At 46.4% G+C, this 22265-nt stretch overlaps 1 protein-coding gene and 1 long non-coding RNA gene across 5 annotated transcripts, besides 1 other annotated feature; one reads left to right on the top strand and one right to left on the bottom strand.

Moving 5' to 3' along the window:
* The first annotated feature begins 2248 nt into the window (after nucleotides 1-2248).
* CCK (cholecystokinin) lies at nucleotides 2249-10608 on the top strand. 2 transcript variants are annotated; one of them, NM_000729.6, is made up of 5 exons: nucleotides 2249-2750; nucleotides 2997-3165; nucleotides 3527-3737; nucleotides 4802-5017; nucleotides 10203-10608. In NM_000729.6, exons 4-5 carry the CDS (start codon nucleotides 4804-4806, stop codon nucleotides 10334-10336), a joined length of 348 nt encoding a protein of 115 aa, NP_000720.1. In that variant the 5' UTR covers nucleotides 2249-2750; nucleotides 2997-3165; nucleotides 3527-3737; nucleotides 4802-4803; the 3' UTR covers nucleotides 10337-10608. The 2 variants fall into 2 exon arrangements, with proteins under 2 accessions (NP_000720.1, NP_001167609.1); NM_001174138.3 differs by lacking the exons at nucleotides 2249-2750; nucleotides 2997-3165; nucleotides 3527-3737 and adding an exon at nucleotides 4487-4611.
* Nucleotides 11497-12696: an enhancer, noted in NCBI's record as "P300/CBP strongly-dependent group 1 enhancer chr3:42297230-42298429 (GRCh37/hg19 assembly coordinates)". NCBI's record gives its function as "activates an origin of replication core promoter dependent on BRD2, BRD4, P300/CBP, MED14 and CDK7 cofactors, with strong dependence on P300/CBP, by STARR-seq in HCT116 cells {active_cell/tissue: HCT116}" and the evidence as "EXISTENCE:reporter gene assay evidence [ECO:0000049][PMID:35650434]".
* LOC105377048 (uncharacterized) lies at nucleotides 14940-20530 on the bottom strand. Of its 3 annotated transcripts, XR_007095890.1 has the most exons (5): nucleotides 20282-20530; nucleotides 19188-19338; nucleotides 18854-18964; nucleotides 18442-18626; nucleotides 16247-16848 (listed from the first exon to the last, which is right to left on the bottom strand). It is a non-coding gene; the product is annotated as an uncharacterized LOC105377048 (long non-coding RNA). The 3 variants fall into 3 exon arrangements; XR_940772.3 differs by lacking the exons at nucleotides 16247-16848; nucleotides 18854-18964 and adding an exon at nucleotides 14940-14977; XR_940773.3 differs by lacking the exon at nucleotides 18854-18964.
* Between the last annotated feature and the right edge of the window lie 1735 nt (nucleotides 20531-22265).

Here is a 22265-nt window from a genome sequence, read left to right as displayed (position 1 = left end):
TTCAGATCCCTTATGTCTTTCTATTTTCCTAGCAGCTCTTCTATCACACATTTCCTGCTCAGAATTTCCACTCCTGAGAGACAAGCGGCTACAACTGCTTTATTTTACAATAAAGAGGCAAGCAGCTCTCTTGATCGTAAATGAGAAAGGCCCATGCACAAGCCCTTCTTCAGCTTCTGATGGTCCCTGTCACCTCTGGCTCTGCACTGGCATTTCCACGCTGGCCTCCTTGGCCCACTTGTCTGGTTCTGTACCAGCTCTTTTTCCTCCACCCACTCCTTCACGCTGTCACTCCTCAGCGGTCTGTCTAGAGGCACCCTGCCACCCATTGCTAGCTGCCTTCCTCAACTCTCCCTATAACTCCCAGGCTGGCAGCCACCACCCACATGCCAGACTCTGGGTCCACCCCTCCAGTGTCTCTCTGCTCAGGACAAAGGCTCCCAAACTCCTCCTAGACTGTCAATGCACAAACGATCAACCAATCCCATACTGGACTCATTACCCGCTCCCCACTGGCCCACTACCACCACGGCCACACTCCAAGCCTGCTTTTCCTTCTGAATTCCCTGTCTTGGATAATACTCTACCACCCACCCTTGTCTCCCAGCCTGGAAACTCAAGGTCAGTCTCAGTCACCAAGTCCGGTTCCCTCTACCAGTTTCCTGAGCAGCAACAGGTTGTTCCCTGGGAGGCTGGAATTTTTCTTCTTTTCTCTACTTTTGTTTTCTGAATGTTCTCTGATGAACACTTATGACTTGCATAATGTTTATTATGTTTCCTAATAATTAATGGGTTTCATAATGGCTTATTATTCTAAAACAAATCTACCTTGATTGTTCCTGCTTGCCCATCCCCGAGGGCCTCCTATCCAGCCCTCCCCTTCCAGTCCCTCTGCCTTTTGGGCATCTTCCATATTACCACCTAGCTCCCCTCACCAAAACATTTCTCCAAGATTACCTCCTACCATCTCCACTCCATAGTCCCCAAATATCAGAATTGTTGAGAAGTGTTTGTCCACTTGTTTGCTTCAGCTCCCCTATTGTATTGTCAGCTCTTGTTCATACTGAATCCCTGGGGCCTGGCACAAAGTAAGTGTTGAATAAACATGAATTAAATGGATCAAGGCCAGGAGTTGAGTAACTGGTATAAGGTAGGGAATTTCTATAGAAATGATCTCAAAGTGTGCTTGGCGGACTAGCATTTTCAGTATGGCCTGGGAACTTGTTAGAAATGTAGATTCTTGGTGGGGCGTGGTGGCTCACGCCTGTAGTCCCAGCATTTTGGGAGGCCAAGGTGGGTAGATCACCTGAGGTCAGAAGTTCGAGACCAACCTAGCCAACATGGTGAACCCTTGTCTCTACTAAAAATATAAAAATTAGCCAGGCATGGCTGCACATGCCTGTAATCCCAGCCGCTGGGGAGGCTGAGGCAGGAGAATCGTTTGAACCTGGGAGGCAGAGGTTGCAGTGAGCCGAGATCATGCCACTGTACTCCAGCCTGGGCGACAGAGTGAGACTCTGTCTCAAAGAAGGAAAGGCAAGGAAAGGAAGGAAGGAAGGAAGGAAGGAAGGAAGGAAGGAAGGAAGGAAGGAAGGAAATGAAGAAAGAAAGAAAGAAATAAAGAAGAAAGAAAGAAAGAGAGAGAGAAAGAGGGAAAGAGGGAGAAGGAGAGACGGAGGGAGGGAGGGGGGAAGGAAGGAAGGAAGGAGGGAGGGAAGGAAGGAAGGAAGGAAGGAAGGAAGGAAGGAAGGAAGGGAGAGAGGGAAAGAGGGAAGGGGAGAGAGGGAGGGAAGGAGGGAGGAAGGGAGGGAGGGAGGGAGGAAGGAAGGGAGGGAGGGAGGGAAGGAGGGAAGGAGGAAGAAAGGAAGGAAGGAAGGAAGGAAGGAAGGAAGGAAGGAAGGAAGGAATTCGGATTCTTGGGCCCTTCCTCAGACCTACTGAATTAGAAGCTCTGGGGGTATTTCGATAACAAGTTTATGTTTCCAGACATGTCTTGCCACAATCACAAATAAGACTCTTTTTCGCAACTGAACTACACAAACCTTAGCAGGCTCGTGGCGAAACCACTGGAAAGCATTTAATCAGCTTCAGCTCTTTCAAACATGTTGCCCATAGGTTGCAGAAACGCAGCTGCCTCTCAGGATTAGAAAGTGGAGCAGCAACCGGAGGCGTCTCTGGGCCGCCCCCCCAACCCCCCCACCCCGCCTCGCCCACTCCACCCTCACACTGGCGTTGCCACAGTCCCTCCATTCCAGAGGGAATTCCAGAGCGGAATACGGATTCCGATTTTAAAATAAGCGCTTCTAAATCTTTCTCCTTGCATCTAAGACGGGTGGGGGAAAGAAAGGGAGAGGAGTTGAGGTCCCAAGGTTCAAGGCCTGGTGATCTCCAGGTCCCAGGCTGGGCGGCCTCGGTGCACGGAGAGGGCGAGGGGCGTGTTGTGGAGCCTTGGCAAGGCGCTGCTCTTCCTCGCGCCTCGGTTTGCGGTCTGTGAAATGGGGTTGGCAGTGCCTTTGCAGGGACGCGGCGAACTCAAGCACCAGCAAGCGGACTCGAACTCAAAGGGTTTCAGGGTGTAGACGACCAGAGCGCACTGAGGGGCTCCAGGTCGGCCCGCTCCGGAGCCGGGAGAGTAACCGCGTGCAGGGAAAGGCGCACGGCAGCCTCGGTGCCTCCCTTCCCTCCACCGGACGGGTGACTGACTAGGGGTGAGGTCCTCACCTCCAGGCTGCGCAGCTGAGTTCTGGAAGGTACTGTCCTGGGGGTGTGAGTGTGTGGGCCCTCAGGAAAGGTGCGAGGGGCGGATGCCGTGGTCTACCCGAGCTTGCGGGGGTGCGGTGGTCAAGTTCCCCAGGACCCTCGCTGGCGCCGCTTGTCGACAACGGGGAACAGTGGGCGCCGCGGGTGGTGGTAACTTGGCCCGGGAAGAAAACACATCCCTTTCCCAAACCGGATTCCTCTGAGCAAAACCAGATGGTGTCATCCGCATTTTACAGCTGCGTCAAGAGAGGCCCAGGACACCAAGAGCCAGCTGTGGCCAGAGCCCTTTCACTGACCCAGAACACTGGCCCTCGGAAACCTGGAGAACTGCGAGGGCTTTTAATGCGGCTGAGAAGAAAGTGAAGACCCCGACTCCTCCTCTCTCCTTCGAAAGAGCCGACACAGGTATGAAGACCAGCGCCTCGGACGCTCCGGGGTAGGGGGCCGACGCCCCCTCCCTTTCAGAATCACGCCTTGCTGATGCTCAGTCCTGCCCAGTGTCCACCCCCCACCCCCGCCCCCAGTTTCCTTTCTAGCCCCTCCGGTCCCCAAAGCGAACTAAGCTAGCGGCAGCTTCTCCATCCCGGAGGAGACTCCAAACTCCTAGGTTTCCCACCTTGGAGAGTACTGCTCTGGAATGCGCAGGGGAGCGGCACCTGGAAAGGGTTGGGCGGAAGCTTCTCGGACCCAGAGGGGGCGGACACCCGGCACCGCGCGTGGGAGGGATTAACTCCACCCCACTAGACCACCTCCCCCTCTCTCCCAGGAGCCACTTCAACCGGTTGTCGCCCCAGTGGCCGCCCTCTGAGCACGTGTTACTGCCAGTCTGCGTCAGCGTTGGGTAAATACATGACTGGCCGACGCCGCCGGGTGGGGCTATTTAAGAGACAGCCGCCCGCTGGTCCTCCCTGAACTTGGCTCAGCTGCCGGGCTGCTCCGGTTGGAAACGCCAAGCCAGCTGCGTCCTAATCCAAAAGGTAGGTCCCTCGGTTCGTCAGCGGGGGATCCAAGTGTCGTGTGTCTTTGAAGGATGCTGTCTTCAGCTTTGTGCCCATTTCCATTATGCTTTTCTATTTTCTGTGTCTTCCCTCCGAGAGCTCGAAAGACATTTCTTGAAGTCAGAAATAACGGCTCTGGGTCTAAAAGTGAGGTCTGGGTGGGTAGAGCTGCTTTAGAGCCTTTCATACGCCAGCATCATTAAGGGATGAACTACCCATTCGCTAAGATTCGCATGCAGATTGAGTTTGCTAGCTGTTACACAGCGGTGCGGGGGACTTTGCAATCTTTTCTAATAAAATATTAGAGGGTTTTAAGATTTAAATTCATTTTCTAAATACTGCAGAAAATTTCGAGGCTTTACGGATAGAAACTTGAGGGTGTTTTATCCACTAGCGATCTAAAATGCACGGGGCTTTCGAAGCCTGAGCGCTGGGCACATATTTCTGATTTTAAAACCTGCCTATGTTCTGCGTAGTGGCTTATTGCCATTTCCCACGTACACTTTGAGAAAAACTTTATAAATACGGCTTTATTTATTGCTCCTACATTTTAAACTGTGCTTCTCTTTTTCATCATTTACTGTATTTCCATATTGAAAGCTTGTTAGCTATCTGGAAAAGTGCTTTCCCCAGGGTTCTCATTTCTCCCACGGAGTCTTCCCTTTAGGATATTTTTTTCACACTATTTTTAATCTCGTGGGGTTTTATTTTTCTTCTTTCGGTTAGAAGAGAGGCACTCTGCAAACACTTCCTCAAACTTTAGGAAAGCAAAAACATTCCTTCTGCTCAACACGGCAGAAAACAGGGTCTCTGCCCCTTGGCGCTGGGTGAGGAGTTCCCAAAGACCAGCCAGGTGCGCCCGGGGGCGCGCGCCATGGCACTCGGCTGGGGTCAGCGCTTGGCGAGCCCTCGTGCTTGCGGCGGCCTGGCGGGTCTGGAGCACCTGTGTTTGTCCTAAGCCCGCTTCTGGGTGCCCGGCCCGCCGCAGGAGCTCTGTTGCCCAGCCTTTCAGTTAACGCGCCCTCCTCCTTTGCTCGCTACAGCCATGAACAGCGGCGTGTGCCTGTGCGTGCTGATGGCGGTACTGGCGGCTGGCGCCCTGACGCAGCCGGTGCCTCCCGCAGATCCCGCGGGCTCCGGGCTGCAGCGGGCAGAGGAGGCGCCCCGTAGGCAGCTGAGGGTATCGCAGAGAACGGATGGCGAGTCCCGAGCGCACCTGGGCGCCCTGCTGGCAAGATACATCCAGCAGGCCCGGAAAGGTAAGAATGCTGCCTCCCCATCCCTCACTTCTGCCCTTGTTCCCAGGCTCCCGATGCTGACCCTCTTCTCTAGCGCTAGCCTGATGGGGATGACCTCTCTCGGTAGGAAACAAGCAACATGATTTCTGGCGGTCCTTTGTAGCAATCTGAGAAGGGGTATGGAGGACTTAATTTATAAGTAAGGGGAACCTTCTTGAAAAGCTTTCTTTGAACTAATTTTTAGCAGTGTTGCTGATTAAGTTCAACACCATTTTACCAAGCCATTAAAAGATAATTATTGAAGCCTAGGAAAGGGTTCCTAGATACAGTGAATACCCTCTACTGAAAACGCAAAGGACCTTGGAGCCACCCAGATACCAACCCTTGGAAATCCTCTAGCAGGAAGGGGTCAATGCTGAGAATGCCTGAGATCTGGCTACAACAGTTTAAAAAAGCAGTGACAATGTGTCCATTTCCACCAAAGTATGTAACAGAAGGAAAGAATCAGCAGCAGTTTTGTGTTCTCCTTGCAATGACTTACAAATTATTACCCAACAAGAGAGGTATTTGTTTTTACTTTACTGTTGCAGAGATGGTCACAGTTGTAGCAAGAGCTGAGCAAGTCAGTTTTCTCAGCATCAAAGTCTTTCTCCAGGAATAAGGTGATTCAGCAGCTCACTAGCCGAGTGGCATGCAGGCAATTCTGACCTGAGGCTAGCTTTCCCCTAAGCTCCTTCCAATTCTTTGTGTGATTCAGAGGGAGGCCCATTCATCTCTTGTGACCCATAGGAATCATGCTTTGGATTGGGGCAGCTTTTTTCTGCCAACTTTATCCCCAGTGACACTAATGATGAACACCGGCTGTGGAGCAGTGTGCTGAACAGTACAAACACAGCTGGACATTAAAAGAATTCAGCAGGCCAGGAGCAGTGGCTCACACCTGTAATCCCAGCACTTTGGGGGGCTGAGGCAGGTGGATCACATGAGGTCAGGAGTTCGAGACCAGCCTGACCAACATGGTGAAACCCCATCTCTACTAAAAATACAAAATTAGCTGGGCATGGTGGCACATGCTTGTAATCCCAGCTACACGGGAGGCTGAAGCAGGAGAGTAGCTTGAACTCGGGAGGTGGAGGTTGCAGTGAGCCGAGATTGTGCCATTGCACTCTGGCCTGAGCAACAAGAGTGAAACTGTCTAAAAAAAAAAAAAAAAAAAAAAAGAACTTAGCAAACACTGCTGGAAGGGATGTGGTAGGTGTGTTGCCTTTTCCATGAAGCTCTCTTACCCAACTGGTGTTCCAGGGCCTGGATTTGAACCTTAACCCCTGGCTTGACCAGAGAGGGATAAGATGAAGAGTTTTGGCTCTGCAGAGTTCTTCTGTGGGTTCACATGAAGGGAAGACTGGAACTCTGACCCAGAGGCTTCAGAAGGAAAGAACAAATCAGTGATTTGTTGTATTTCTTCCTGTCTTTGGGAAATTGCCCCACCCACCACCTTGTGTTTTGCTTTCCTGCTAATTAAATTGAAAAAGATAGAAATACTTCTCAGATGGAGAGAGAAAGTCTGAAAGCTTTTGAGTTCCTGCTGATTCTCTGCCTGAAAATAATTTAGTATCTGTCCCCAGATACAGGCTGAATTTCAGCCAGACCAGTCTGAAATATCCTAGGCTTTTCATTTAACTGTGGACCTGGACTCCCCTCCTCCAATTTAGGAAAGACCCTGGTTTTTCTTCTATGTAGGCTGAGGATATCTGCAAAAAGGCCTGAAATGTGCCGAATTGAGTCTTGGTTCCAAAATTGCTCTAGGGAAAAAAAAGAAAAAAAAAAAAGCTCATTACCAAATTATTTCCTAGAACCAATACTAGACAATGGCTCTTATAGCATAAATCTTAGCTGGAAAGTTCTTTCTAGTCCCTCTTCTCAGCCCCCCTCTCCCTTTGCCTTCAGCCAATTGTGCCAAACAAACCCAGGAGGGAATAGCAATCACTTGGAAATTTAGATGCCAACACCTAGGATCAACTCTAGCTAAAAAACAAGCAAACTCTTCTATGTGACAAACATGAACTAGGACTAAATACTTACACATATAGATACTGCACAGTTTCTATATGTGCAGTATATAGAATATTTTACATATTTTGAATATTTTACATATTTTGAGATCATATCAGATTTTTGCTCCACTATAGTATATATTATTCTTAAAAGTTCTAAACAAGACAATGCATTCTTTGAGCAGTACTTAAGAGTTTATCATTAGGAAATATCTGCAGCACTTTCAATGGCCCAAGAAGAAACAATTCTATTGGAGGGCAGTGGGTAAAGATATCTAGAGGCATTTAGTGTGCGCCTCCCCCATGCCCAGCAAAGCTTCAATGCTACATCTATATTGTCTTTCTCAGTACAACAGCCCTGCACAGTGAATATTATTATACCCATTTTGCCAGTGTGGAAGCTGGGGCTCTAAAAGCCTGAGTAACCTACATGCAGTTGCATATCTACGCAACAGCAGGGCTGAGACTCTATCTAGTCCTGCTCCCCCCAGGAGGGCCTGGAAGCCATTCAGCTTCCTAGCTGTACTGCCTATTCCACATTTTAAAGTTTAAAAGAGCTAAACCCTTCAGTTTTAGCAAGAGCTAAGAAAGTCACTGTTTTCTCAGCACCAAAGTCTTTCTCCAGGAATAAGGTGATTCAGCAGCCCACTAGCTGAGTGACATGCAGACAGTCCCGAGGCTAGCTTTCCAATAAGCCCCTTCCAATTCTTTGTGTGATTCAGAGGGAGGCCCGTCCATCTCTTGTGGCCCATAGGAATCAGGCTTTGATCAATTCCATACATCAGATGTAAGCCCCTACTCTATGTCAGCACTGGGAAAGTGAGTGAGGACCCTGGTAAATACACATGACATGAGGACAGAACTGTACGTGGAACGGGGAAGTCAGGGTGTGTGATAAATGCAGCTTCCATGACTGAACATGGTGCCCCCACCGTTAACTGAGGCTGCTTGCTCGTATTGAAGCTGTCACCTTGCTTCCATTAGATGGAAATTTGGGTTGTGCCCAGGCCTTAGAGTGGGCACTCATCATCACAGCAGGCAGAAGGATGGGTCATGTTTCCATGTGACTGTGTACAGGTAACTGGGTCTATAGGTTTTCCTGAATTCAAGGGTAATATTTCACCTGAATGATGAACAATTAAATAGCAGGGGCTATTTTTCTTCTACGTAGGCTGAGGATATCTGCAAAAAGACCTGAAATGTGCTGAATTGACTGTTGGTTCCAAAACTGGGAAGGGTTGGGGTTGGGGAGAGAAAGGGTGGGGACGTTGTTCTGTGTTGTTTCTGTTTTTAATTAAACTTGCTTAATTTCATTACCCAGGGTAACTGCCTTTGCATTTTCATTTATCAACACATAAGCCATAGTCTGACTCTACTCAGCCTATGGGTAGGAGCTGGCAAGGGCAGCCTCATGCAGAAGGGATATAGACCAGCATGACAGGAGGTGGGGATACAGTGGCCCCCAACACAGTGGGAGTCATTGAGTGGTCCTCCACTCCTCTACCCTTGATTTGGCCTGGGCTTTGTCCATTGAAGTCCCTGAAGGGCCTTTCTTAAGACTGAGCTTGCACAGGAGAAGGTGTTCTGCTGATTTCATACCCCAGGAGGCTTCTGTCTATGAACTTTGAGCTAGGACTGTCTCATGTCTCCAAATAAACTGCCTCTTCATGTCCCTGCTCACTCAGTGTGAGCTCTACAAAAGGATCACACTGTTCCTGAAGACTTAACTTCCATCCCAATGGGACAATTTCAGGTTCAGTTATTGCATTTTGGTCAAAATTGCTGATTTAAATCACCTTTGTTATCACCTCTCTCCCCCCCTTCTTTGAGTCTTACTGAGGTGCCAAGATTTAATCCGACAGTCTTTTTCTGAATATCATTTTTAATTGATATTGATTTATCATTAAAAATAAAATGATCATCAACTCAAAACACTTACTGATAAATGACAAAAGCTTTCTGAATATAACTTTCAAATTCATATTTTTAAAAGAGTATTTATGTAGCAAAGGAGCTTTATTTATCTATTTTTTATTATACTTTAAGTTCTGGGGTACATGTGCAGAACATGCAGGTTTGTTACATAGGTATACACATGCCATGGTGGTTTGCTGCACCCATCAACCAGTCATCTACATTAGGTATTTCCCCTAATGCTATCCCTCCCCTAACCCCCACCCCCCGATAGGCCCTGGTGTGTGATGTTCCCCTCCCTGTGTCCATGTATTCTCATTGTTCAACTTCCACTTATGAGTGAGAACATGCGGTGTTTGGTCTTCTGTTCCTGTGTTAGTTTGCTGAGAATGATGGTTTCCAGCTTCATCCATGTCCCTGCAAAGGACATGAACGCATCCTTTTTATGGCTGCATAGTACTCCATGGTGTAAATGTGCCACATTTTCTTTATCCAGTCTATCATTGATGGGCATTTAGATTGGTTCCAAGTCTTTGCTATTGTGAATAGTGCTGCAGTAAACGTACATGTGCATGTGTCTTTATAGCAGAATGGTTTATAATCCTTTGGGTATATACCCAGTAATGGGATTGCTGGGTCATATGGTATTTCTGGTTCTAGATCCTTGAGGGATTGCCACACTGTCTTCCACAATGGTTGAACTAATTTACACTCCCACCAACGATTTTTTTTTAACCATTCCAACATCAAGATATTATAATTGTGCCACCTTAATAACAAGAGCTCTCCAGGAGTCAGGAATGTTGATGGATATTAAGGGATGAATTTAGGAACAATTAAGTACTGGAAAAATCTTTGGTTGGTTTCTGCTGATGCCATCTACAAAAGGAAAACACCCATCTACCAAAAGAAAGCAAACGGTAGGGAGACTAAGGAAAATCTAGGCAAGTCCCCAGACTGCAAGGCTAGAGAAAATGAATCCACCTAAATACTTGCAGAACGCAAAGCACACCCCTAACTTGTAAATATATTGTCCTCTCTCCAGTTACACAGACATTGGTCCTTCTCCTCTCTCAGATTTTGGTCCATCAGTTCCACTACTTTGATAGCTCTTTGATACCTTTAAGGTGGTGTCTGTTATATTGCGTCTGGCTTTTTCCATTGCTCTCCTTCCCAAATTGAACTAGAGATGCTTTTAGATGCAATGTCCCTGTTTCCTTCCTCCCTGCTCCTTGTAGCTCCTTCTGGACGAATGTCCATCGTTAAGAACCTGCAGAACCTGGACCCCAGCCACAGGATAAGTGACCGGGACTACATGGGCTGGATGGATTTTGGCCGTCGCAGTGCCGAGGAGTATGAGTACCCCTCCTAGAGGACCCAGCCGCCATCAGCCCAACGGGAAGCAACCTCCCAACCCAGAGGAGGCAGAATAAGAAAACAATCACACTCATAACTCATTGTCTGTGGAGTTTGACATTGTATGTATCTATTTATTAAGTTCTCAATGTGAAAAATGTGTCTGTAAGATTGTCCAGTGCAACCACACACCTCACCAGAATTGTGCAAATGGAAGACAAAATGTTTTCTTCATCTGTGACTCCTGGTCTGAAAATGTTGTTATGCTATTAAAGTGATTTCATTCTGCCCTGTCGTTCCCTGCGTCTACTGAGGGCAAAGGGCTCCATTTGGTCCTCAGAACATGCAAGGAGGGAAGCCTGATAGATGCTACACTGGGACAAATCCTTGTAGTAGATGTCCCCAGAAAGGGCTTGGGAAATGCAGCTCAGACTTGGAGCTAACTTTGCTACAGGCCAGGTGGACAGTGAAAGGGCCATCTGTGGGCAACTCCAGAGCCCAGCCCTGGCCACCCTGATCCCCGATCTTATTTACCAATCCTACTCCCATCAGGGTTTCCTTGGGGTTCTCTTGGCCTTTAAACAAGTTACAGGCAGTAACTGGCCATGGTTTTGCATACATTTGATCACTCCATGGCTCTGTGGCACAGAAGTTATCATCCTTTCTTTACAGATGAGGAAACAGGCTCTGAAGAGTGAAAGTGACTGCCCCTTATGCCCCAGCTAAGGAGATTCACAGACTGGAGGGCTTAATGTTCCTAGGCTATCGGGACCTTCATCACTCTAGCACTTCTCCAACTGAGTGCACAGGAATCACCCGGGGAATCTTGTTAAACTGCACATTCTGATTCAACAAGTCTGGGCAGGAGCCTGAGCAAGCTCCAGGTGATGTCAATGCTGCTGGTTGCAGACCGCACTTGGAGCTGCAGTGGTGCAGATAAGAGCCTATAATCGCTTTTCCTTGAGCCCCGCCATGTTTTGGAGTTGGTGGGACTCCAAAGTGCTGGGGAGACTCTGGTAGTTATACAGAGCAGAAGCCAATCTGTCTGTTGGTTCGCTGTAGAAATCAGTGAGGGGAAATAGTCCAAGGCGACACCCAGAGATGATCCAGTACCCACCACCCCCAGTGCAACCTTTCCATGCTTCCTGCTGAGGCCTCCAAGACCCTCTGATCCTTGTCCAGCAGAGGCCCCAGGTGCCTAGTGCAACAGAACCTGGCAGCCCCCAAGGGAAATACATTGAAAACAATACTGGCAAATCTAAAACCTTACCCAGCCCGGTACCACTCGCTACTGGCACTCAGTGCCACCTTCCTTAGTGTTGGGGACAGGACACTGGGAGGGAGGCCCAGGAAGACTTGGTCAGTACAATTCTTTCACTTGAGCTGAAGTTGGGATTCAGTGTAAAACTTACTCCAAATAGGGAACACTATATTAGTCCCTCCCGAGGTACCACCTCATTCAGTCCCTACACTTGGTCTCCAAGGCTGCCTCATATCTTAGGTATCCAACCCCCATTCAGTCTAAAATATCCAGATGCCTGGGTTTTTAGTGCCACCTCCCCTTGCAAAAATCACTAGTTTTATGGGTGTATAGGGGTTATGTGCCTGTGTGTGTGTGTGTGTGTGCTGTTTGTGTATTGGGGATGGGGGATGAGTGAAGGACTTGGAATTTAATATAGAATCAGCAGTGGGGAATGGATGGTGAAAGTCTGATCTAAATTACTGATTTATGAATCATCAAGGAAGTGGGTGTTAAAATACCATTTTCAAAGGTAAAGTCATGACTCATACAACACAAAATGAACATATGTCAAAGATATCATTTAACTCATCAATTAATAAAGGAACCAGTAAGATGTCACAATCATTTCAAAGCAGAATCTGAAGGATAGACATGTGTAGACAGCCAGGAATGCTAACAGAGAGAAAACTGGTTCATATCCATAGGTCAAGAAACTACACTGTTTGGAATAATCTGTTATCCATAACAGAAGTTACTTGTATCATTAGAGGACAATATTCACTTATGTTTCTTTAGGTTTTGGGGTTTTTTGTTTTTGTTTTTTGAGACAGGGTCTCGGCTCTGTTGCCCAGGCTAGAGTGCAGTGGCACAATCACAGCTCATTGCAGCCTCAACCTCCCAGGCTCAAGCAATCCTCCCACTTCAGCTTCCCAAGTAGCTGACACTATAGGTGTGTGCACCACTCCCAGCTAATTTTTGTACTTTTTAGAGAGATGGGGTTTTGCTATGTTGCTCAGGTTGGTCTCAGACTCCTGAGCTCAAGCAATCCACCTGCCTCTGCCTTCCAAAGTGCTGGGATTACAGGCGTGAGCCACCACACTTATGTTTTGATAGGCAAGAATTGTTTGCATTTCTATCAGTTTTCCAGGGATTATAAGTCACCCAGTCAAAGACACAGACCCCAGCAGCATCAGATAAATGCCCAGTGTTCCACTGAAAGGACACCCAGTCATCCCCTTTGCCCACTTCCAAGCCTTTCACAACTTCTTCTAATGCAGGAAAGGGAAAGGAAAGAACATTCCTGGCCTCCTCTTGGGTGCTGTACAAAGATTCTCACAAGCATCAACCTAGGAGACAGTCCCAATCCTGCAAGGTAATCATGATTCCACTCCTCCAAGAGGAAACAGGAGCTCAGAGAGGTTAAGTGTCTTGGAGGTGCACATGCTGCCCACAAACGGCAGTGCCAGGATATAAGCAGCTGGTTCTGGAACTTCTCTATGAAAGGACTTAGAGCCACCATCTGGCAGAGAAGGGCCTCTGAGCCTTGTCTGGAAGCTGCACCTACACAATGAAGGTGGAATCAGCATGTGTGATCATGTGTGGAGTCTTGGAGGGGGCCTGATGGAGCTCCCTGGGCAGGGGAGGCAGAGAGCCTAAAGACCTGTCCCCCTAATGCTTTCAGTGCCATGCTGGATTTAGGACAGCACCTTTTAACTGCAGGGGCCCTGCTCTTATCTCTATGCCACCTGCTGTTGCAGGGTCCCTGGAACCAGGACATGAAACCCAGGACTTCCTCAGCCGTTTCTCAGGGGTCCACATCAGGCTTCTGCAACTAAGCTGAGCAACTCTTACAGAGAAGCCAGCCACTCCTAAACTCCACTTTAAAGAGGCCAGAACTCACACAACCACAAAGCCATGCCCGCTGCCCTGCCCTCCTCCTCCTCCTCCTCCTCCTCTACCCAGCTGTGTGATCCTAGGCAAGATCACTCCCAACCTTTTCCCCCTCCATCCCTCTTCCCCTCGCTAACCATTCTTTTCCTGCTAGCTGTCCTGGAATCCCTTGGGCTTGCAGGAACTCCACCCAGGCCATATCCCTCTACAGCTATTCCTGCTGTTTGTGTCCTCAGCTCTGCCAATTAAGGTTGCTCAGAAGCTTCCTTTTTGTTGACCCACTGGAATTTAAAAGCTGAAGAGAGCAATGGCTATCACTCTGGCTCAGCCCACACCCTACCCTACCTCCACTCCCATTTTACAAATAATAAACTTGCCCAAGATCACACAATGAATTAGTGACGGAACCTGCAGCTTTCTCTGGAATTAACTCCTTGCCAGGCTGAGACATGAAGAATTGCCTGGTAGTCCCTGCATTCGCTGATACCTCTGGACCTTTGGCTTAGGAGATCTGACCTGCCCTGACCCGCAATTACTAACATCTCCATGTGGCCAGCAGCCAGAGGGTGGACAAGATTCACTCTCCCAAGATTTGCTTCACCAAAACCAGGCTGTAAGACATCTGACCCACAAATGAGGGAATCTTTACTTAATTTGTCAGCAACCTACTGAACCCAAATGGCAATCTTTGCTCTCAGGCTCAGCCAAACCCAGGTATAAGGAAAGAAAAATGGAAGAAAGACAGTATAAGTTCATTCTTACTTTTAACATATAACCACAAAAAAACGCCCCCAGCTTTTTTTGTTGACTCTGCTTTGAAGTGCCAAAGGAAAGAATCCTGATCACTTTGCTAGATTTCCAGAGACTGTGAATATTTTTTTCCAGCATCTTCAAATTATGGCTAGTCCTGAAGATAAATAAAGCATAAGTCAAGCAGAAAGAGAGAAAATCGTTGCCTCACTAATTTCCCCTGTGTTCTAGGTTCCAAAAACATCTCTCACCAGATAGTAAAATGATCTGTTTGTGTCTGTCTCCTGCTCTGATCTATATCTTCCCACAGAACTAGGATCAGGGGGTCCCAGATGAGAATGCACCTGCCCTGGACTCCCCACCATCCCCAAGGCCCACACTGGACAGACCTCCCCCAGACAGCCTCATCATCACCCCCACCTCTCTAACTTCATCTCATCACTGCCCTCTTCACTCACTTCACTCCAGCCTCACTGCATTCTTTGCTATTCCTTCAAAACACAAAACTCACTCCTAAGTCAGAGCCTTCGCACCACTGTTCCCTCTGCCCGGCTCACTCTCCCTCCCAAAAGCACGGCTGGACCTGTCAGCTCATTCAACCCCAAAATTACCTGCTCAAAGAGGCTGTCCTGACCATCCTCTCTGAAAAGGTTCCTCTGAACTGGGCACAATGGCCCATGCCTATAGTCCCAGCTATTCGAGAGACTGAGGTGGGAGGATCACTTGAGCCAAGAAGTTGAAGTCCAGCCTGGGCAACATAGCGAGACATTATTTCTAAAAAAAAAAAAATTCTTTTAAGAAACAAAAATTTCCTCCATTACCCTCTCTCCCCTTCCCTGCTTTACTTTTCTTCGCATGTTTATCATCTCTTGGAATTACATTGTATATGTATTTATTCATTGATTCTGTCTCACCAATGAATACAGAACACCAAAGTTCTGTCAACTCTATTAGGACAGGGATTTTCATCTGCTGTGTTTATTGCTATATTCCTAACACTTAATACAGGGTTGGCACATAGTAGATACTCAGAAAATATTCACTTAATTAATTAGTTCATTAATTAATCAATTAGGGAAAAATCTGTCAGGATCCCCGCTACTCAGGTCACAGACTGGCTTTAGAAGCAGTTTCATCAGACCATTTGTTTTAAAAATCAGAGAAGTAAAGCAGGCTCAGTGACACGGCCAAGTCCCCCCAAGATAGGCATAAATTGGAAAACAGAGCACTCACACAAAAAAATGGCTGGCAGCGTGCACGGCATCTGTGGAGAGTGGTGGTATGCACTAAAGTACACCCACCCAAACGCGCGCACACTCACACACATGCACATCCAGCCCTATTTCTTTTGCTGCAGTTAAAATCCAGAATGGTGGCCGGCGCAATGGCTCACGCCTGTAATCCAGCACTGTGGGAGGCCAAGATGGGCGGATCATCTGAGGTCAGGAGTTTGAAACCAGCCTGACCAACGTGGAGAAACCCCATCTCTACTAAAAATACAAAATTAGCTGGACTTGGTGGTGCATGCCTGTAATCCCAGCTACTCGGGAGGCTGAGGCAGGAGAATCACTTGAACCTGGTAGGTGGAGGTTGCAGCGAGCCGAGATCGCACCATTGCACTCCAGCCTGGGCAACAAGAGTGAAACTCCACCTAAAAAAAAAAAAAAAAAAAAAAAATCCAGAAAGGCTTGACAATCTCAAAGAAGGAAAAAGAGGAGCATTGATGATGTTCATTGCATTTACTCAGAATATTAGAGAAGTGGAAACAACCTAAGTGTTCCACAGTGAGGGGTAGCTGTTAAGGAAATTAATGTACATAGAATTAGTTAAGTGCATCCATTTAATCAAGCAGTTATTTAAGTGATGAGTATGAGGACAATGTAGAAACACTGAAAATAATCGTGACCCATGTAAAGTGAAAAGGTCCTCTCAGCTCATTCAACCTCATATTAAGTTTATTTTCCAATGAATGAGATTATGTGAAAATGATGATAGTCATGCCAGGGTTATAGGATCACAGGTGCTTTTCTTTCTCTTCTCCAAATTACTTGTAATATTTGTAGATTGTCCTTATAACAACCATAGCGCATGTTCTCTAGGCTGTGCCAGTCTACAGTGAAACACAGAATCATAAGAACAGCCATAAAAATAGTTCTTCAACCACTTCGTTTGCCAAGGAAACAATTCAATTCTCCTCAGATGATTTTGCCAGTCGCCGAGGTTTGTGTGTGTGGCCACCCACAGTGTCCATCCTTTCCAGTTCCTTGGTTCTCTCTCACTAAAGCCATGAAGCCCCCTGAAAATGTCACCTCTGCTGGCAGAAAGTAGTTTTCCATCTGCTGTGCACACCTCTAGGTTTTGGACCAGTGTCTACTGTCTTCTGGTGCCTTCCGTCCTCAGTATGGGAGCCTGGGCCACACTACTGCCATTTTGTTCTCACCTGACAGGGTCTCAACAGCATCCTGCAGGGCCTGGATGCCATGGGAACCTCTCTGATAAGCAGTTATTGCCAAAGAGACCAGTTGCCCCAGCCAAGTGACTATGCTGCCACCCCTCAGAGTGGAAGTCCTTTTTCTGCTCACAGGTTTCCAGAAACACCATTGGCCTATGAAGGTCACTTTGTAGTCTGAAATCTCTGCATTTACCTTATAAATAGAAAATGATAGATTCAGTCACATGGGTAGTCCATTCTTCACACCGAGTGGCAACCTTTAGGCTCAACAAGGTAGGGATAATACAGAAGGGCCACAAGTTCAGCTGCTAGGATGGAACCATACCCTCTATCAGGAGAACTGTATCAGTTCCTTTAGAACAGATTTGCTTCTATGAATTCTTTTAGTTTTCCTTCATCTGAGAATGTCTTTATTTTGCCTTCATCCCTAAAGGATATTTTTGCTGGATTTTGAATTCTAGGTTAACAGTTATTTTCTTTCAGCACTTTATAAATACTGTATCACAGGCTTGGATTGGTGGCTCACACCTGTAATCCCAGCACTTTGGGAAGCCAAGGTGGATGGATTGCTTGAGCTCAGGAGTTCGAGACCAGCCTGGGCAACATAGTGAAACCCAGTCTCTACAGAAAATACCAAAATTAGCTGGGCATGGTGGTGCATGTGGCTGTAGTCCCAGCTACTTGGGGTGCTGAGACAAGAGGATCACTTGAGCCTGGGAGGTTGAGGCTATAGTGAGCCGTGTTTGCACCACTGCACTCCAGCCTGGGAAACAGAGTGAGACCCTTTCTTAAAAAATAATAAATAAATAAATAAATAAATAAATAAATAAATAAATAAAATACTGTATCACTACCTAAGGCCTTCATGGTTTCTGATGAGAAACCTGCAGTCATTCATATCATTGTGCCCCACAGATAATGAGTCATTTTTCTCTGGCTACTTTCAAGATTTTTGCTTTGTCTTTAGCTTTCAGTAGTTTGATTATGATGTGTCTGGATGTAGATTTCTTTGTGTTTACCCTGTTGGGGGTTTATTCAAGTCTTGAAGGTGTAAGTTTATATCTTTCACCAAACTTGGGACATTTAAAAACATTATTTAAATGTTTTTCAGCATCACTGTCTTTCATCTCCCTTCCTGGGCTCTTGATGACATAAATGGTAGACCTTTTGTTGTTGTTGCATATGTCAGAGAGGCCTGTTCTTTTTTTTTATTCTATTTTTTGTCTCTATGGTTTACAGTGAATAATTTCTATTTATCTACTTTTAAGTTCACTGACTCTTTCTTCTATCATTTCCATTCTGGTAATGAGTCCACCAGTGAATTTCTTGGTTTGGTTCTGATATTTCTAAGTTCTCAAATTTCCACTTATATCTTCTATTTCCGTACTAAGATTTTGTATGTTAATATTTGTTTCAAGAATATTCACAATTGCTCATTTGAGCACTTTTATAATAGCTGCTTCAAAGCCTTTGTCTTCTAATTCCAACATCTGTGAAATCTCATCATTTGTGTCTGTGGATTGTCTTTTTCAAAGAAAATTGGGGTGGGATGGGGAGCAGCTGGAGAACGACACAGAACCTGCAATGCACAGCAGGGGGATAAAGGCGAAGGTAACCTAAATTGTTATGGTTCTTTGTATGCTCAGTATTTTTTTATTTTATCCTGAACAATTTAGATATTATTTGGTGAGACTCTGGATCTTGTTTAAATATTACGAAAAATGTTAATATTTTGTTTTAGCAGGTGATGGACATGGTTAGGTTCAGTTTGCAAGTTCCAACCCACCTTCTGTGCGCTGTGATGTCAACATCCACTCAGTTTTCAAACTGCTTTTTGTCTCCATTTCAGGTGTGCACCACCCAGAAGCCAGTCTAGGAACCAGGTGATGACCTCTCTATTACTTCAGTTCTCAAAGGTCTTGGTATCCTCATTAAAACCAGATCCAAACATGTATGGCTTGGAAGTGAGCCCTGGAATTCATAAATAACTGTATGGAGTCACTTCCCTGAGCTCCACCCTCTCTGTAATCTCCCTGGTACTCTCAGTTCCCTGAGGCTCCCCTTTTTGATCCTCCACCCCAAATTGGGGTTCTGGTTACTCTGTTCTACACACGTCTATGTTTGTAGCCCATGTTCAGATCCAAGTGGCAGTAGAAGAGAGAGAGACAAAAATATCAATGGAAGCTAGTCTCACCCACCGTGGGATCACAGTTCTTCTGAAAAAAGAACAAGTTTACACTGCCTCAGTTTTGGCTCCTGTCAGTCCCGTTACTGACTGCTGACCCTACAGGTGTGGGTTTGCCCAGGGCCTGTGGCATGAGAAACAGAAAAAGATAATAATTTTTTTGAAAAAGAGAAGAGAGAGAGAATGGTCATGATCTCTCTGGACATTAGGAGTTCCCCTTTTCACTCCTTGGGCCAGAACTAAAGAACTTCTCCTGGAGCTGTCTGTGCCCCAGATCCCACTTCCAGTTTCTAGCTCTGTTAAGTTCAAACCAAGGGATACAAGAGTGGGGAAAGTGATAAACTCACTACTGGTTTGATGTACTTCAAATTCTGTGTTCTTCACCAATATTCCTTCTGCTGTTTTCTTTTCACCGTCCTCAAATAGCTGTTCTAAACTTTCTCTCCTGGAGTTATGACCAACAGAAATGATGGTTGGAGTGCACTTATCCCATCTTACCTAGAATCAGAACACCAGTGTCTTTCAATATAGAAATTTCACAATGAAATCCCATCTTCTTCTGAAAATCTGGCAATGATGAGCCTGCATTTCTGCATGGTGACAATGTGGAGGCCAACACTTGGCTGCCCCTCTAGACAGGCATGCCCTCTCTCACAGGCCAGTCTCACACATTTGTGTTATATTTGCAACCCCAGCTTCGGGAGACATTGAAACCAACCACTTCCAAAAGGTAACCACGTGGGCACCACTCAGCTTCAGCCATGCAGCTGCCTCTTGGTTCATTAGGTCTTTCTACGGCCAGCTCTTTCCTGCCTCCCCAGCCTCTGGCCCAGGTTCATCTCTCCAAGCCCTGGCTGAAGCCTCTTCTGCCCTGATCCACCCTGCCTTGGGGTCCTTGCTTTGATCTTCTGTCAACTCCCTTCCTTTCCCTTTTCCTTAGCTTCTCTCCCTCCTGCCATTCACCCAAGACTTCAGCCCAATCTGAGCAATTGGGTCCGGCTGTGCCCGCCTAGACTCCTTCTCTGTCTGTCCACCTGCCACCTATCTTTGAGAAAGGCACCAGCCACAGCCTTCAGGGCTTCCCTGCCTTTTCTCAGCCTTCCAGGGCCTGGCAATTTCTGCTGAAACTCTAATATCTTGCTGAAATATTAGGTCAAGAGGTACTGAAATGTTAAGACCCAGTAACTCATGGCATAAGGCTCTTCTCTAAGAATGGGTGGTTTATTTTATTATCTTAGTTTTGGGTTCTTTCATATATGTGATTCCCAAGACGTTTCTGGTTTGGAAAATCTCCAGAGGGAATAAGAGTTACTGACAAGTGGAAAGAGTCACATCTAATCAAGCTCTAAGACTAGCATCTTTCTATCTTTTCCTTCCTGTGGCTCACATGCCAGTCTGGGCAAATAGAAACAGACACAATCAGCAGTTGTTCAAGCCTTACCTGCCCCAACTCCCCTGGACTGCTGCTGGAATGACTTCAACATGCATGATCTTTCTCTGAGTCCCACTCCAGAAAGGATTGTACTGCTCTCCTGCATCAACTTTTGTGGACTGTTTCAAGCCCTTCGCTGTCTCACCAGCATGCACTGAAATGCACCTGTATGCCAGGAACTGTGTTGATTTAGCAGGTACAGAGACACAGCCAAGTGGGAGATTCAGAAAAGTTGAGTGGCAGTACAATAAAACAAGAACTAGGACAGGTAATGTGCAGAGGCTGGAAGAAAGCTGAATGGCAGAGCTGACTGAATGAAGGGGAGGCCAACCAGGTGGCTGCCTAGTGTGCCAGTCTCTAAGAGACCTCTAATCACCACTGTAGCAAACCGAAACCTGGGTGTCAGTGAAGTTTTTCACATGCAGTAACTAACCTAACGGGAAAAAAATACGTCGGTTCTACCCTGACAGAAGACGACAGCGCCCTCAAGTGGAAATTTTAGAAAACACTCCTCCGGGTGCCAGCTTCTCTCTGTTGAGGATTTTAGCTGTACAGTATTTTCACCCTTATCCATGGGGGATACGTTCCAAAACCGCAGGTGGATGTCTGAAACTGCGGGTGGTACTGAACCTTATACATCCTGTGTTTTTTAGATCTGATAACCGAAACAGCTACTAAGTAACTAATGAGTGGATAGCATATGCAGCATGGATCTTGCTGGACAAAGGGAGGATTTATTTCCCAGGCAGGACGGAGCAAGCAGGCACAAGATTTCATCACACTACTCAAAACAGTACTCAATTTAAAACTTATGAATTGTTTATTTCTTGGATTCTCCATTTAATGTCTTCAGACCACAGCTGACCATGTGTCACTGAAATCACAGAAAGCAAAATAGCAGATAATGGGAAGCTACTGTATACACATTGAAATTTGCAGGATTCTGGTCTATTTCTCGTTGCTACCCAGTCAGCTGAAATTTTGAAACCAGATAATTTTAGGCATGGGACTATTTTCTAAGAATAGGTAGTTTATTTCATTATTTTACTTTTGAACTTTTAACAGAGCTACCAAAAGTCTTCCAGGTTTGGAACATCACCCCATGAAACTGAAAAGAGAACAAAGAAGACTGACAAGTGAAATGCTTTTTGTAGAATAAGAACTCAAAAAATAAAAAGGAACTCTTAGGGGTATTTTGAAGACAACTTGGTAACTATGGTTACCTCTAATTAGTGAGCACCTTATGCTTTCCAGATTTGAGTGAAGAAAAGCAGAAAGAAAAAAACAATTCCAAATAAGCAAAAATGTTAAGTTCCATCGAGTACATGTAATCATGTATTTTGAACATAAAATCAAGATACAGAAGTTTGTTAATAGCAAATCAACTCCCCACCTTCACCTTCACCTCCTGTGTTTCTCCCTGCATAGCAACGACTCATAAACCAAAATTGGGAGTTATGAAAGTCTCCTCAAAGGAGGGGATGCCAGAGGTCAGGGTGCAGGAAGACAGGCAGCGCACTATAGAGGCAGCCTGACACGGGAGTCCTAACTGTGGCTGAATTAGGGTGAAACTGTCCAAATGAATGCCTCCTGTTCTATACTGGACACTGGGGATAGGATGAACCTTACTTTTGCTTCCTATCAGAAGTACTGAATTGGGACTCCGTAATTACTGGGATTTGAACTTGGGCAGAGAGAGAAGCTCCAAGGGAAACTGTTCTGGGTCTACCTCAGGTTTCCTATGAGAAGCCACAACACAAAAAACACACCCATGTACAGGGAAGAAGAGAAGAAGAGGATTCTACTGCACACACCGTGCCCTCAGACTCTCCCAGACCTGAGACCATTGTCAAAGCCCTATCTTCTAGTCAGAACAAGTCTCCAGCTGAATCCAGGCTGAGACATGCTTCTAACAGGAGGGAGGAAGGCTCTTGTCTCTCTGAGGGATTTCTCCACTTCAGGGGAGAAAGATTTCATCTACAATTAGTAAACT

Source organism: Homo sapiens, chromosome 3, assembly GCF_000001405.40.
Source record: "Homo sapiens chromosome 3, GRCh38.p14 Primary Assembly".
NCBI classification, from domain to species: domain Eukaryota; kingdom Metazoa; phylum Chordata; class Mammalia; order Primates; family Hominidae; genus Homo; species Homo sapiens.
This window is presented reverse-complemented; position numbering and strand designations above follow the sequence as displayed.

What these genes read in the sequence shown, in the direction of transcription:
- CCK (NM_000729.6), top strand. Translation starts at nt 4,804, where the DNA reads ATGAACAGCGGCGTGTGCCTGTGCGTGCTGATGGCGGTACTGGCGGCT. An exon ending in CATCCAGCAGGCCCGGAAAG is followed by an intron (nt 5,018 to 10,202) that starts GTAAGAATGCTG and finishes TGCTCCTTGTAG; the next exon opens with CTCCTTCTGGACGAATGTCC.